Source organism: Homo sapiens, chromosome 1 (genome assembly GCF_000001405.40).
Source record: "Homo sapiens chromosome 1, GRCh38.p14 Primary Assembly".
Lineage (NCBI taxonomy): Eukaryota > Metazoa > Chordata > Mammalia > Primates > Hominidae > Homo > Homo sapiens.
In genome coordinates this window covers 226,369,752-226,382,045 of record NC_000001.11, presented here as the reverse complement: position 1 = coordinate 226,382,045, position 12,294 = coordinate 226,369,752, and the positions used below count along the sequence as shown (strand labels likewise).

The window sequence follows — 12,294 nt, the reverse complement described above, 5'->3', positions numbered from 1 at the left end:
CAGCCTGGGTCCAGGTGCCCACATGAAGGGCCAGTTGGGGGCTGGCATTCTGACCCCTCCATGGAGGGTTCCCTCCTCTGCTTTCCCCTGACTTGCAGTTCAGCATGAGTCAATAATTTTGTTCTCTGGAGACCTCAGCAGTTTCAGTTAAACTGTCAGTGTTTCCTAGTTGTTTGCCCTCACAGGGAAGGCAGGAAGGACTTTTCCTTGCAGCTACTCCAGTTCTGGACGGGTGTCACCTGCACTGTGTTGTTTGCTGTGAACAGAAGGCACACCCCTGTCCAGGCCTTTCTGGCCTGGGTCAGTGCACACCAGGCTGCTGCTTTTCTCCTAGAATCAGTTAGCTCAGCTCCGTGTGATTGTGCTGGCCACTGCTTTGAGGGACTATCATGGACATGTCTCATTTTAAAATGGGGTTAATTCATAAGAATTGCAGTTTGTTTGGGAGAATAACAGAAGGAATTGGGGGTTCATGTGACCTTACCCCTCTTCCCATCCGACTCCAGCCTCCTGGTCCCTCGTCCGCAGATGCAGCCTTCCTAGCCTGACCTTGGCGCGGACCTGGGGTAACCCGCAGCTGCCTGGCTCACGCCGCGAGGCTGGCCTGGCCATGGAGTGGCATTTTGTGGCTTGCTCCCTGCCCAGTCCTTTCTGTGCTGAGGGACATCTGTAGGTACTCAGGTGGCAGCTTGCTGTCCCGTCCTGTTTTCTCGCGAGTGTATTTTCATAGGCTTTTCCCAGGAGCTCGCTGCTTGGCTCACCTGCTCCTCCACCTCCCCTTACTGGGGAGCAGCACCAGAGCTGGCCTTGCTGAATGATTCTCTCCTTTCATCCCAGATAAGCCATTATCCAACATGAAGATCCTGACTCTCGGGAAGCTGTCCCGGAACAAGGATGAAGTGAAGGCCATGATTGAGAAACTCGGGGGGAAGTTGACGGGGACGGCCAACAAGGCTTCCCTGTGCATCAGCACCAAAAGTGAGTTGAATCTGAATTTGTGCAACAGGGACAATGCTTCTGTATCTTATGATTGTGATGACGAGTAAGTGAGGAAGAGTCGAACACAGCGCTGAAAAACTGGATCTTAACATCATCATCGCTGTGGTTCTTTATGAAGGGAAACCAGTATTTGCTCTCAGTGTTGCTGCTTTGTACTGTAGATTCACATGCATTGCGTGTTCTCAACTAAAGACGGTAAGCTACTATAGGTTGAGTCTCCCTAGTCCCGAAGCCCAAACAAATTGCCTCAAAATTCAACACTTTTTGAGTGACAACATGATGCTCAAAGGAAATGTTCATTGGAGCATTTCAGATTTCAGAGTTTTGGATTAGATGCTCAGTCAGTAAATATGAAGCAAGTATTTTAAGGTCTGAAAGGTTTCTGGTCTCAAGCATCTCGGATAAGGGAAGCTGCTCAACCTGTATTCTCATCACTTCGCACTGCTCTGTAAGATGTGCATAGATATCTGCCAAAACAGAAGTTCAAGGTTCAAGTATGTTTGGAAAAGGTAGGGTAAAACAAAGCTAAACAGGTTTCTGTGTGGGTTTATTATGCTGATTACCACTGTAGGTCTTCAGGAACCAGAGAAATAGAATACAGGATTTCCCATACATATTTGACATCAGGGTGTTTTTTCTTTGGAGTGTTTGTTAACATCGTGCTGTAGAATGGTTTGGAGAAGGCTGCCCTGGCTCATCATACCTTAGAAAAGGGGGAATGTTGCTGATAAAAACACTCTTGGGAGCATTAGACTTGGAAGCAAAGGAGAGCTGTGAATGCTGAGGGTTTGGAAGTACACACTAAATATAACTGTAGTAATTTGAAGTTTCAGTTTTGTTTTAAACTTGTATTTTGGTTTTTTTTCCTTTCAATTTGAACAGAGGAGGTGGAAAAGATGAATAAGAAGATGGAGGAAGTAAAGGAAGCCAACATCCGAGTTGTGTCTGAGGACTTCCTCCAGGACGTCTCCGCCTCCACCAAGAGCCTTCAGGAGTTGTTCTTAGCGCACATCTTGTCCCCTTGGGGGGCAGAGGTGAAGGCAGAGCCTGTTGAAGTTGTGGCCCCAAGAGGGAAGTCAGGGGCTGCGCTCTCCAAAAAAAGCAAGGGCCAGGTCAAGGAGGAAGGTGAGGGCCCCAAGCTGCCCCCTCCAGGGCCAAAAGCCAGGGACATTGGTGGCCAGGTTGTTGTCCACGGAACCTCTCCCTTTGTGTCCCTGACATGGCCTGTTGAGTGCTGCAGAGCAGGACACAGAATGGCAGGCGCTTTGGGGTGGCGGGAGTAGTGTGTATATAGATGCCGAGTTGACAGATGATGGGAATGAGAACAACTCATTTGCCTTCTACCTTCCCCTTACTTTTTAGTTACATTTAACTTCATGTTTACATTTTTCTGTTCTCCTCCAAGGTATCAACAAATCTGAAAAGAGAATGAAATTAACTCTTAAAGGAGGAGCAGCTGTGGATCCTGATTCTGGTAAGCAAACAGGACTGCCAGCAAAGTGGGCTGTGCCGCCCCCCAACCCCCAGCTGACTAGGAGCACACATCCAAATGCCCGCAGCATACCTGGGGCAGTGTGGTCGTGCCTTTGTCCTCACTCAGGCCTCCTTCACCAGCTCCCCCAGTCCTGAGAACACACATTTGTGGGGAGCCTCCCGAGGGTGGTGGTAGTGTATCCAAGAGGCGTGAACCTCAGGCCTGCAGATCCCTTCTCCGTGAGAGTGCTAGCACCTCAAGGGGAGAGAAAACTGTAGGTGCTTTTCCTCTGGGACAGGACTGGAACACTCTGCGCATGTCCTGGAGAAAGGTGGGAAGGTCTTCAGTGCCACCCTTGGCCTGGTGGACATCGTTAAAGGAACCAACTCCTACTACAAGCTGCAGCTTCTGGAGGACGACAAGGAAAACAGGTGAGTTCTGCAGGTGTAGCCTGGTTGTGCAGAGACATGGGCCCGTCCTGCATTGGTTAGTGCTGTGCCATCAGCCTTGTGAAACCCGTTAGGCCCAGTGCCTGGGGAATGAAATCTAATCACAGAGATCAAAAACAAATTATAAGGCCTTTGCTTAAAGGGGAGAAAGAAGCCACTTACTAACCAGTAGCGTTGCTGTCCTTGTACAGTTGTCCCAAGGTATGGTTTCACATATTCTTCTGCTGGCTTTTCTTTTTGTTTGGTGTTTTGTTTTTTGTTGTTGTTTTGCAACTATTTGTTTTGTTTTTTGAAATAGTCTCGCTCTGTTACCCAGGCTGGAGTGCAGTGGCGTAATCACAGCTCAGCGGAGCCTTGACCTCCCAGGCTCAAGCAATCCTCCCACCTCAGCCTCCTGAGTAACTGGGACTATAGGTGCGCACCACCATGCCTTATTTTTTATGGAGACGGGCCTCGCTGTGTTGCCCAGACTGGTCTCAAACTCCTGGACTCAAGTGATCCTCCCGCCTCAGCCTCTCAAAGTGCTGGGATTACAGGCATGAGCCTCTGCACCCAGCCCCAGCTGGCTTTTCTTTCAGCTACTTGAATCAAGATTTTCTGATTTTACATATGTTTTAAAACTTTGAAGCAAATAAAGGTTGGCAAGCGTTGAACTTACTCTTTAATGTTCAAACTCCCTAGTAACTAAAGAGGTTGGATTTGCCTTTTTTTTTTTTTAACATGGTGAGACAGGCAAGGTTGGAGTGTGGATGGTGGGGTACAGCAGCTGGGAGGTGGTGAGAGGTTGGGCTGGCTTTTGTCCTTATGTTTCTAGGCAGAGTGGTCCTTATCTAGTGAGTTCATTGCCCCTCAGTACAGCCACCACAAAATAGCATTTATGTGTCAGTGTAAAGGCATGTGGAAGGAACTCTTACTAAATTCTAACGTTGATTGTGGATGTGGACATTTTTCTGGTGGCTTAGATTTCCTGGTGTTAAGTGAAAGGGTGGTGTAGGCTGTTAGGGTCAGAAAAAATTTTCAACGTAGATCAAGGTAGTGCTTCTCAAAAATTTTCACAGGAAAAACCAAGCAGAGAATGAATTTTTATACCCCTGTTCAGTAGCCCAGAGAATGGCCAGGGAGTCCCAAATTTTCTTTGAAATCTGTAGTTCTATCTTTAAAATGTACACAAATCTTGTATGTGGGTTTATGATATATATATATTTATTATGAAATGACAATTAAGTGTTGCATTACCTCTGCTTTGAGTTAATCAAAAATTAGCTCATCCAAAGCTGAGCAGCACAGCAGCTGGGTGTGTGTGATGTGTACCCTCAATTGAGATGGAATTTGAACATGACAGCCTGCATCTCTAGGTCACCGGACCTGAGGAGCCATTGCCACTGCCCCCCTCATTTCATCATGTCTTGGCCTTGGATCTGAGTTGAAAGTTTCATTATTTTTAGGGTACAGCTGTAAGGGTTGACTCCTTGAACACATGACTTCCAGATAGTACTTTGTATTTCTTTGGGGAGAGGACTAGAATCATTTTTATGCAAAGGTCTCCAGACTCCAGGATTCAGTCCTCAGGCTTGGCTGCCAGAACCAAGTTTAAACTATTCTTTGGCATTTTTTGTAGTCAATATGATTTGAAAGTTTAATGAAAAGTAAAATAAAGACCCTTTATTGTTATAGCAGTTGTGTTTGTTCTGTGTTAATCACCATCCTTTTGGGGTGTGTAAAATTCTTCCCCACGTGAATGTAATGGCAGGAAAGGGGAGCTCCTGAAATGGGACAGCTGACCCACACATGTGTATCTGACACCCTCCTTCCCACTGCAGGTATTGGATATTCAGGTCCTGGGGCCGTGTGGGTACGGTGATCGGTAGCAACAAACTGGAACAGATGCCGTCCAAGGAGGATGCCATTGAGCACTTCATGAAATTATATGAAGAAAAAACCGGGAACGCTTGGCACTCCAAAAATTTCACGAAGTATCCCAAAAAGTTCTACCCCCTGGAGATTGACTATGGCCAGGTAACCACATAATGCCCTTACACTGTCTGCTTCTAGGAAAAGGAAGGGACACCTTATTCTAGAAAATCCACATCGTGGATCAGGTGGCATCATAGTAAACATACTACCAAATGTTGAAAGGAGAATAATAGTCCTTCACAAATTCTCCCCCAAAAATAGAAGAAAATACTTCCCAGCTCATTGCATGAAGGCCAGTACCACCCTGATACCAGAGCCAAAGCAGCACAGGAGAACTACAGAGCAGTTTCCTGTGAATAGACATGCAGAAACCCTATGAATAGAGATACAAAATCCTAACAAACCGAATCCAGCAGCATAGACGGATCTATACACCACTCCCAAGTGGGATTTATCCCAGGAATGTAAGGTTGGTTCGACATTTAAAAATCAATGTAATATATGAATAGAATGGAGGACAAAAACCACATGATCATCTCAGTAGATGGCAGAAAAAGCATTTAATACAGTCAACACCTTGAAGTATGAGATAGAGCTTAAATGAGAATTGTGGTAGCATCTTTGAGATATCGAGGAGGAACAGTCTTTTCAGTTACTCCTGAAACAATAGGACGTAATTCAGAGATTCCAGATAAGGCTTTTTATCTGAACCCATGGTCACCCTTGATCATGTGACTGGTCTGTCATGACAGAATTATAGTAACTTGACCTGCTCTGCTAGGTCACACTTTATTAGTCCCAAATTATTTCCTAGTGCTGTCTCTGTAGTTTTGGGCGTCTCCTTACATCTGTTAGCACACAGCATTCATTTGTCTATTGGTTGACATTTTTAACTTTTCTGTTTTGTCTTTTTTCTTTGCAAAATGCTTGCCTTTTTAAAAATGAAAATTTATCACTTTTTTAATCAGATAAAAGAAAACATTTATTTTACAAAAAGATCTGTAGGTGGGTAGAGATTTTAATTCTAAATCTTTGAGGCCTAGCATGTCTCGTAGGGGGAATTCTTTAGTTTACAGAGGGCCTCATGAACTCTCCATATTAAAAATAGGATTTACATCTTGCTTATACAATGATGAGGCTCAGACAGTAGACTTTCAGGACAGATTTGGCCTGACTCGGTAGCGCCCCTTACTGAGTTAAATACTTTAAAAATTTTTGAGAAATATTAATACTAAGGCACAAAAAACTAAGATTGCCCGGAATTAACCACAGTTAAAGTAATGGTAGATATCTTTTTCAGTCAGCTTTCACTGCATATGTACGTTTCCCACCACCATATGTACCATGTTACAACCATCTGCTTTTTGCCCTAATGTACCAGGAGCATTTCCTTATGTCTTCTAGAGCAGTGCTGTCCAATAGAATTATAATTCAAGCCATTTCAATACATTTAAAGTTTTTTATAGCCACATTTTAAAAAGCAAGAAGCCAATGAAATTAATCTTGGCATTATTTAACCCCGTATATCCAAAATATTCTAATTTCAACACCTGATCAATACCAATAAAATTATTAATGAGAAAATTTCCCTTTTAGTTTTTTCTCTACTAAGTCTTTGAAATCTGGTGTATATTTTGCACCTACAGCACACCTCAGTTTGGCCAGTGGCTACTGTATTGGCCACTGGCTGCACCAGTCCAGAGCATTATTTAAGGCTGCATTGAATCCCGTCCTGTGCGTGGGCTGGAATTTATCATTAATCAGAACAGCTTCCTGCCTCCTGTTAGTCATTTAGATTGATTCTGGGCATTTACTGTAATGATGCTGATATACATTTAAATATTTGTGTGCCTCTGTGATTGTTGTCATTACAAGTAGGTACTGGGTCATAAGGTAGATGCACTTAAATAGGGGTTTTGAACACATAGATACTTTGCCCTCCAATGAAGTTACACCCAGAAGATAACAGAGTACATTTAAGATGGTGTTTCAACACTGAGAGTAGGTCTACTATGAAGGTGACAGCAGCAGCCATGAACACTAACAACGCAAGTTAGCTCTTGGGTAAGCCAGTCTGATTCCAGGTTCAAAGCCCAGTGCCAATTCCTTTCACTCCAAATACCAAATTCCGTTTTAGTTGCTAGGGACACTGTGCTGGACAGAGCACCGTCTATACCCTCATACAGTTCAAGTCTAAAGAGTTAAAGCAGTTTCAGTACAGTGTGATCTTGATATAACCTGGGTTCTTCAGACAGTGGGGGGTGGAGTCTCAATAGTCTATTAGGCAGCTTAGGAAGAGGACGGACAGCTAATGCTACGATGTGCTTTAACACTGTCAGCCTGGCTGGCAGCGCATGGGACTGGTTGCTTGGTACTTTGGGAATTTAGAGAAGGCTATATAAACTTAGTCTTGCAACTGGCCCTTGTGTGAGGAAGTGTAAGAGAAAAGAGAAGGAATTTGTCCATCAGTTTCATGTCCCATTGCTCCAAAGTTTGCTTCTACAGCTGCCCAGCACTTCCAGGTTGGGCATGAGTGGGCACTAGACAGGTTCCCAGGCAGGGACCAGCAACCCCAGGGTGGGTCAGCCCATGCAGACGCTGCAGTGGCAACTAGAATAAGAATCTGGAGCAGCCAAGAGAACTTCAGGGCAGGCACAGGAAGAGTCTGACCCATGTGCAGCATCAGGCACACTCATCCTGGCCACTGTTTTCCACACCTTTTTGATTAACACTCAGCTTTTTTTGCTGGTGGCACTCTAGCCTGTGTCCTTTGTCTGCAGTCCAGCCCCACAGACGCAGATACCTTGCTTGAGTTGTTGATTTGGGTCTCTTAGCAATGTGCTTTTTTCCTGAAGGATGAAGAGGCAGTGAAGAAGCTGACAGTAAATCCTGGCACCAAGTCCAAGCTCCCCAAGCCAGTTCAGGACCTCATCAAGATGATCTTTGATGTGGAAAGTATGAAGAAAGCCATGGTGGAGTATGAGGTTATTGCGCTTTATCATTTTATCTGTGAGCATTTGCTGTGGATGATTATTTGCTGAGCTAGTGAAGAGCTGTCTGCCTGTTCTTGTTTCTGTTTCAAAAACAATACATTGGCTGTCAGCTTCTTGTACCTGTCCTTCAATCTTAAATTGTGTGAGTGTTGGGGCCTGGAGTGGTTGCACTTTTGCAGAGGGTTGTTTGATTTGCAGTGAAGCATGTGTTGTGTTGGAGAGAGTTGTTCCTGGTCCCTAGTCCCCTTTGTACTTTTTTTCTGAGACAGAGTCTCACCATGTTGTTGCCCAAGCTGGTCTCCAACTGCTGAGCTCAAGTGATCCACCCACCTCAGTCTCCCCAAATGCTAGGAATATAGGTGTGAGCCATCGTGCCCGGCCCACCCTTTGTATTTTTCCCCTTCTTCATGCTGTGGCAAGGTGTATTAGCCATGCTTCCTTTGTGGCCCAACCAAACCAACCAACTGGAGTTACCATGGGAAGTGCAAGATAGCCCACTTAGAGTAAAAGAAAATTGCTGTGACGCTTGATTCGTAAGATAAAATTCATACCAGTTTTTAAAAGGTTGGCAGTGGGGTGGGGGTGGTGGTTGCTGGATTAGTCATGCTTCTGTCCAGGGCAGAATGGCAGAGACTGCAGGCAGAGGCTCCGTGTTTCCTGTCTGTTCTCCTTCTCATCTCCGCTCTCCGCCCGGGAGATGAGTGCAAAAGGGCGGCCCCCTTGTTCTTGCTGCTCCTAGCATCAGAGCTCTTAAGTACTGACCCTGGGGGCCTTCAGAGCAGAGGTGGTCCCACCTGGCCAGCAAACACCCTCTCCTCTCTACCCTAGCTGCTGAACCCAGAAGCTTCAGGCTGCTCTGAAAAACAAGCAGCTGTGATGCATTTGGTTATTCCCTTTGTTCTAGGCTCCTAGGAACCAGTGGAGGTTAAGAGTCTCAGATCAGCCTTAAGCATTCCACCCTTCTCCATGGGGTTGCTCCCTTCACGCTCACGTTCTGCTGTCTTCCCAAGTCCTTCCTCCTAGAACCTCCTGGCCTGCCTTAGAGCTGGGAGGACAGGGGGTCAAAACTGGGCAGTATAAACCACTGGCAGCCTAAGCCGCATGGACATCAGGGCCAACCCCGTATCTCCCTGCCAAGAGCTCAGCCTGGCAGGAATGCTCACGCCTGTGCTGTTGTAGAGTGGAGTGTTGAGTTACATCCTCTAACGGGTTTAAAAAATGGCCAGGGCTTGTTCGCTGTGCTTGTTGAAATCGCTGTGTGATCTGACTTTTGTTTATGAGGTCACTAGTGTGAACAACTTATGGGTGGGCTCACTGAGAATGAGGGACGGAGGTGGAGGGAAAGGTTGAGAGGTGCTACGGTAAGGGAGAAGAGGGGCTCGTTTCATTCACGTTTTGAAGTCCTGCACTTCATTTCCAGTCTCCCACACCTTGGTCTATCTGTGATTCATAGACGTTCTCAGCTATTCTCAAACCCAAGTCCTTTCCTGTGAAATGTTGTTTTTGTTGTTGTTTTGTGTTTGGTTTGGTTTGGTTTGGTTTGAGACGGAGTTTCACTCTCTTCGCCTGGGCTGGAGTGCAATGCACGATCTCGGCTCATTGTAACCTCTGCCTCCTGGGTTCAAGCGATTCTCCTGCCTCAGCCTCCCGAGTAGCTGGGACTACAGGCGTGCACGACTGTGCCTGGCTAATTGTTTTTTTATTTTTAGTAGAGATGGGGTTTCACCATTTTGGCCAGGCTGGTCTTGAACTCCTAACCTCAGATGATCCACCTGCCTCAGCCTCCCAAAGTGCTGGGATTACAGGCATGAGCCATGGCCCCCAGCCTGAAATGACATTTTAATGTTTTTCACTGGACAGGTAACTAGTTTAGCAGGAAGAAAAGGGACAGGGGCGCTGCTTGCTGAAACAAGCTAAAAGGCAGCTAGCTGGAAGTGTGTGGAAAGCGGGGTGCCCACTCCTGACCTCAGCGGGGTCCACGTGGGATTGGGGTAACCATGTGGAGAAGTAGACACAGTGGCCCTCGGGGCTTCATCCCCAGCACCAGGGGAACCTGACTCTCCCTGTGAGGAGGGCACATCCTGAGTCCAGAAGGGAATGGGTTCCGGGCAGTCACGACACATGGCAGGGGGCAGGGTTCCAGGCTGCAGCCCTAGAAGCCTCCTCCTGGCTGCAGCTGGGGCTCGTGGGTCCCCAGTGCCAAGGTGTTTCTCCCACTTTTCTGTTTCTCTCTCAACTGGGCAGCTGTGGAGCCACTGCTCCCAGCCCGCTGTCCAGCGCTGTGCCTGAGTTTCTTTTCCAGTAGTGAGGGCGGCCTGTGTGGATGGAGCCCACCTCTTATTTTTAGTCTGTGCGTATGTTTTGAGGGGTGTACAATTAGGGAAACTAGGTATTTTCTTTTTTTTACATAAACACCAGAATTATACAGCGTGGAAAATGTCGCGCCCTTCAGAGCTCTGCCCTCACTCTGGCCATGCTCTGCCGTCAGAACTTCTTTTGGGATTCCTTCTTGAGAATTGCTTTCAGAGCTGATTGAGGGTCCATACCAAAGTCACTCTGTTCTTTTATTGTACCTTGTTCTTGGCTTGAAATAGATTATCCACCTTCTTCCCCAGATGTGGCTCCGGCTACTTAATTCTTGCCAGAAATCAGATCTTCCCTTAGGATGGAGTTTGCAGTGTTGAGGGTACAGGGAAGCCCATGCCAGGGCTTGTGGATGTTATTAGAAGCTGTTGGCTCCTGGTAGGTGTCTGATGAGCTGTGAGCACTTTTCACATCCTTTTATTTAATTTTATCACCATAGCAGTTCCATTTCTAAGATTCTTGTTCAGTTCTTTGTTCCAAGCACTGCAGGAAGTGCTGGACATGCAGAAATGGAAAGGCGCAGTCACGGCCCCCAGGGAGCTCAGAAGGGTCTATTGGCAAAGCCCCAGAGACGATGTCTCAGGATACAGAGTGTGGGGCCCATTGGTACACAGGTGTCTCCACGCAGGGGCTGAGCCAAATAGGCAGGGCTGCTCGCAAAAGGGAGTGAGTGCCTTTTAAGGAAGGTGGCCCCACTTAACAAATGGAAAATGAAGGCTGCAGATCTCATGCTTCTTCCACTGCAGCTTCTCTTGATGGCAGGCAGTTCCCAAGATATGAGCAGTAGCAATATTTGTTGGAGGTGACTGATCTGAAAGGGACAGCATTGATTTGAATGTAAGTCCATAAGTTCAGGAGTGTGTCCTTTTTAAAAATAGTGTTCAACACTTGAAAACTCTTGGTTCTTTTCCAGGTGGGAACCCAGGGGTGCACTTAACTAACTGCCTTGGCTCTGGGACCCCAGGGAAGGCCGCTGGGTGGGGTGGTCAGCATGATTTATGAGCCCTCATCTGCACATCAGAATTGGATGGGAATTATGCTATATCTTCGTCCAGACGTGCTGGACTGTTTGAAACTGGGCATAGGGGCAGAGGAGACATGGTTGGCTAAGCCCAGCCGTAAAGGAAGTGAGCAAGAATCTTCAGACACACTGCCATCCCTCATGGTGGGGTGGGGCTACAGACTCTGGATTTGGGTCACTGGTGTCCTCAGGAAATCCCAGCAGGCTCCTGACTGCTCCTGTTGGGGGCCTGAGGGTGGGCTGCCCGGTCCAGCTCTCCTGCGATCACACTGCACAGTGCCCAGCTTTCAGAGCGAAATCCCCTGTCTCCTCAGATCGACCTTCAGAAGATGCCCTTGGGGAAGCTGAGCAAAAGGCAGATCCAGGCCGCATACTCCATCCTCAGTGAGGTCCAGCAGGTAAGCACAGGGCTACCAGGGGCCTCCTGGAACCCTCCTCTGGCCGACTTAGGGGGTGAGACCTGGGGGTGGCAGGGGTAACATTTACTCAAGGTTAAGAAACTGGAAGTACTGAACTGCACTTCACGAGGGTTTCGATTTTTTTCAGTTCAATAAATGACAAGTGCCTGCTACTTACAAAAGTTTATCACAAAACTAATGAAGAGCAACATTTTTCAGTTGTCAGATACTTAGTAAACTGACCATAAACTTGAAGACGTTGGTTACCCTCTCTGTTAAAAGTGAAGTCATCCCTCTGTATCCTCGGGGATTGGTTCCAGGACTCCCTCGGGGTTACTAAAATTCACTCATGCTCAAGTCCTAGAGTGCCCTGCAGAACCCATGGAGGAGAAAAGTTGGCCCTGCACATCTGTGGGTCTCGCATCCTGAGATTTTTTTTTTTTTTTTTTGGTGGGATTTTTCTTTCTTTTTCTTTTTTGAGACAGAGTCTTGCTCTGTCCCCCAGGCTGGAGTGCAGTGTCACAATCTCAGCTCACTGCAACCTCCATCCCCAGGTTCAAGCGGTTCTCGTGCCTCAGACTCCCAAGTAGCTGGGGTTGCAAGCATGGGCCACCACACCCGGCTAATTTTTTTGTATTTTTAGTAGAGGTGGGGTTTCACTATGTTGGCCAGACTGGTCTCA

General features: G+C 46.9%; 1 protein-coding gene across 1 annotated transcript in view, besides 4 other annotated features; it reads left to right on the top strand.

Moving 5' to 3' along the window:
• PARP1 (poly(ADP-ribose) polymerase 1) overlaps positions 1-12,294 on the top strand; it is a 47,403-nt gene that overhangs the window by 26,048 nt on the left and 9,061 nt on the right. The window contains exons 9-15 of the mRNA NM_001618.4: positions 838-978; positions 1,882-2,124; positions 2,405-2,473; positions 2,772-2,904; positions 4,743-4,938; positions 7,692-7,820; positions 11,529-11,612. Of these exons, the coding sequence (NP_001609.2) occupies positions 838-978; positions 1,882-2,124; positions 2,405-2,473; positions 2,772-2,904; positions 4,743-4,938; positions 7,692-7,820; positions 11,529-11,612 (995 nt within the window). The remainder of the gene's footprint in view (positions 1-837; positions 979-1,881; positions 2,125-2,404; positions 2,474-2,771; positions 2,905-4,742; positions 4,939-7,691; positions 7,821-11,528; positions 11,613-12,294) is intronic.
• Positions 1,738-2,937: an enhancer, noted in NCBI's record as "BRD4-independent group 4 enhancer chr1:226566810-226568009 (GRCh37/hg19 assembly coordinates)". NCBI's record gives its function as "activates an origin of replication core promoter dependent on BRD2, P300/CBP, MED14 and CDK7 cofactors, and independent of BRD4, by STARR-seq in HCT116 cells {active_cell/tissue: HCT116}" and the evidence as "EXISTENCE:reporter gene assay evidence [ECO:0000049][PMID:35650434]".
• Positions 10,577-10,646: an enhancer, noted in NCBI's record as "active region_2650". NCBI's record gives its function as "activates an Ori minimal core promoter by ATAC-STARR-seq in GM12878 lymphoblastoid cells {active_cell/tissue: GM12878}" and the evidence as "EXISTENCE:reporter gene assay evidence [ECO:0000049][PMID:35858748]".
• Positions 10,667-10,726: an enhancer, noted in NCBI's record as "active region_2649". NCBI's record gives its function as "activates an Ori minimal core promoter by ATAC-STARR-seq in GM12878 lymphoblastoid cells {active_cell/tissue: GM12878}" and the evidence as "EXISTENCE:reporter gene assay evidence [ECO:0000049][PMID:35858748]".
• Positions 11,477-11,636: an enhancer, noted in NCBI's record as "active region_2648". NCBI's record gives its function as "activates an Ori minimal core promoter by ATAC-STARR-seq in GM12878 lymphoblastoid cells {active_cell/tissue: GM12878}" and the evidence as "EXISTENCE:reporter gene assay evidence [ECO:0000049][PMID:35858748]".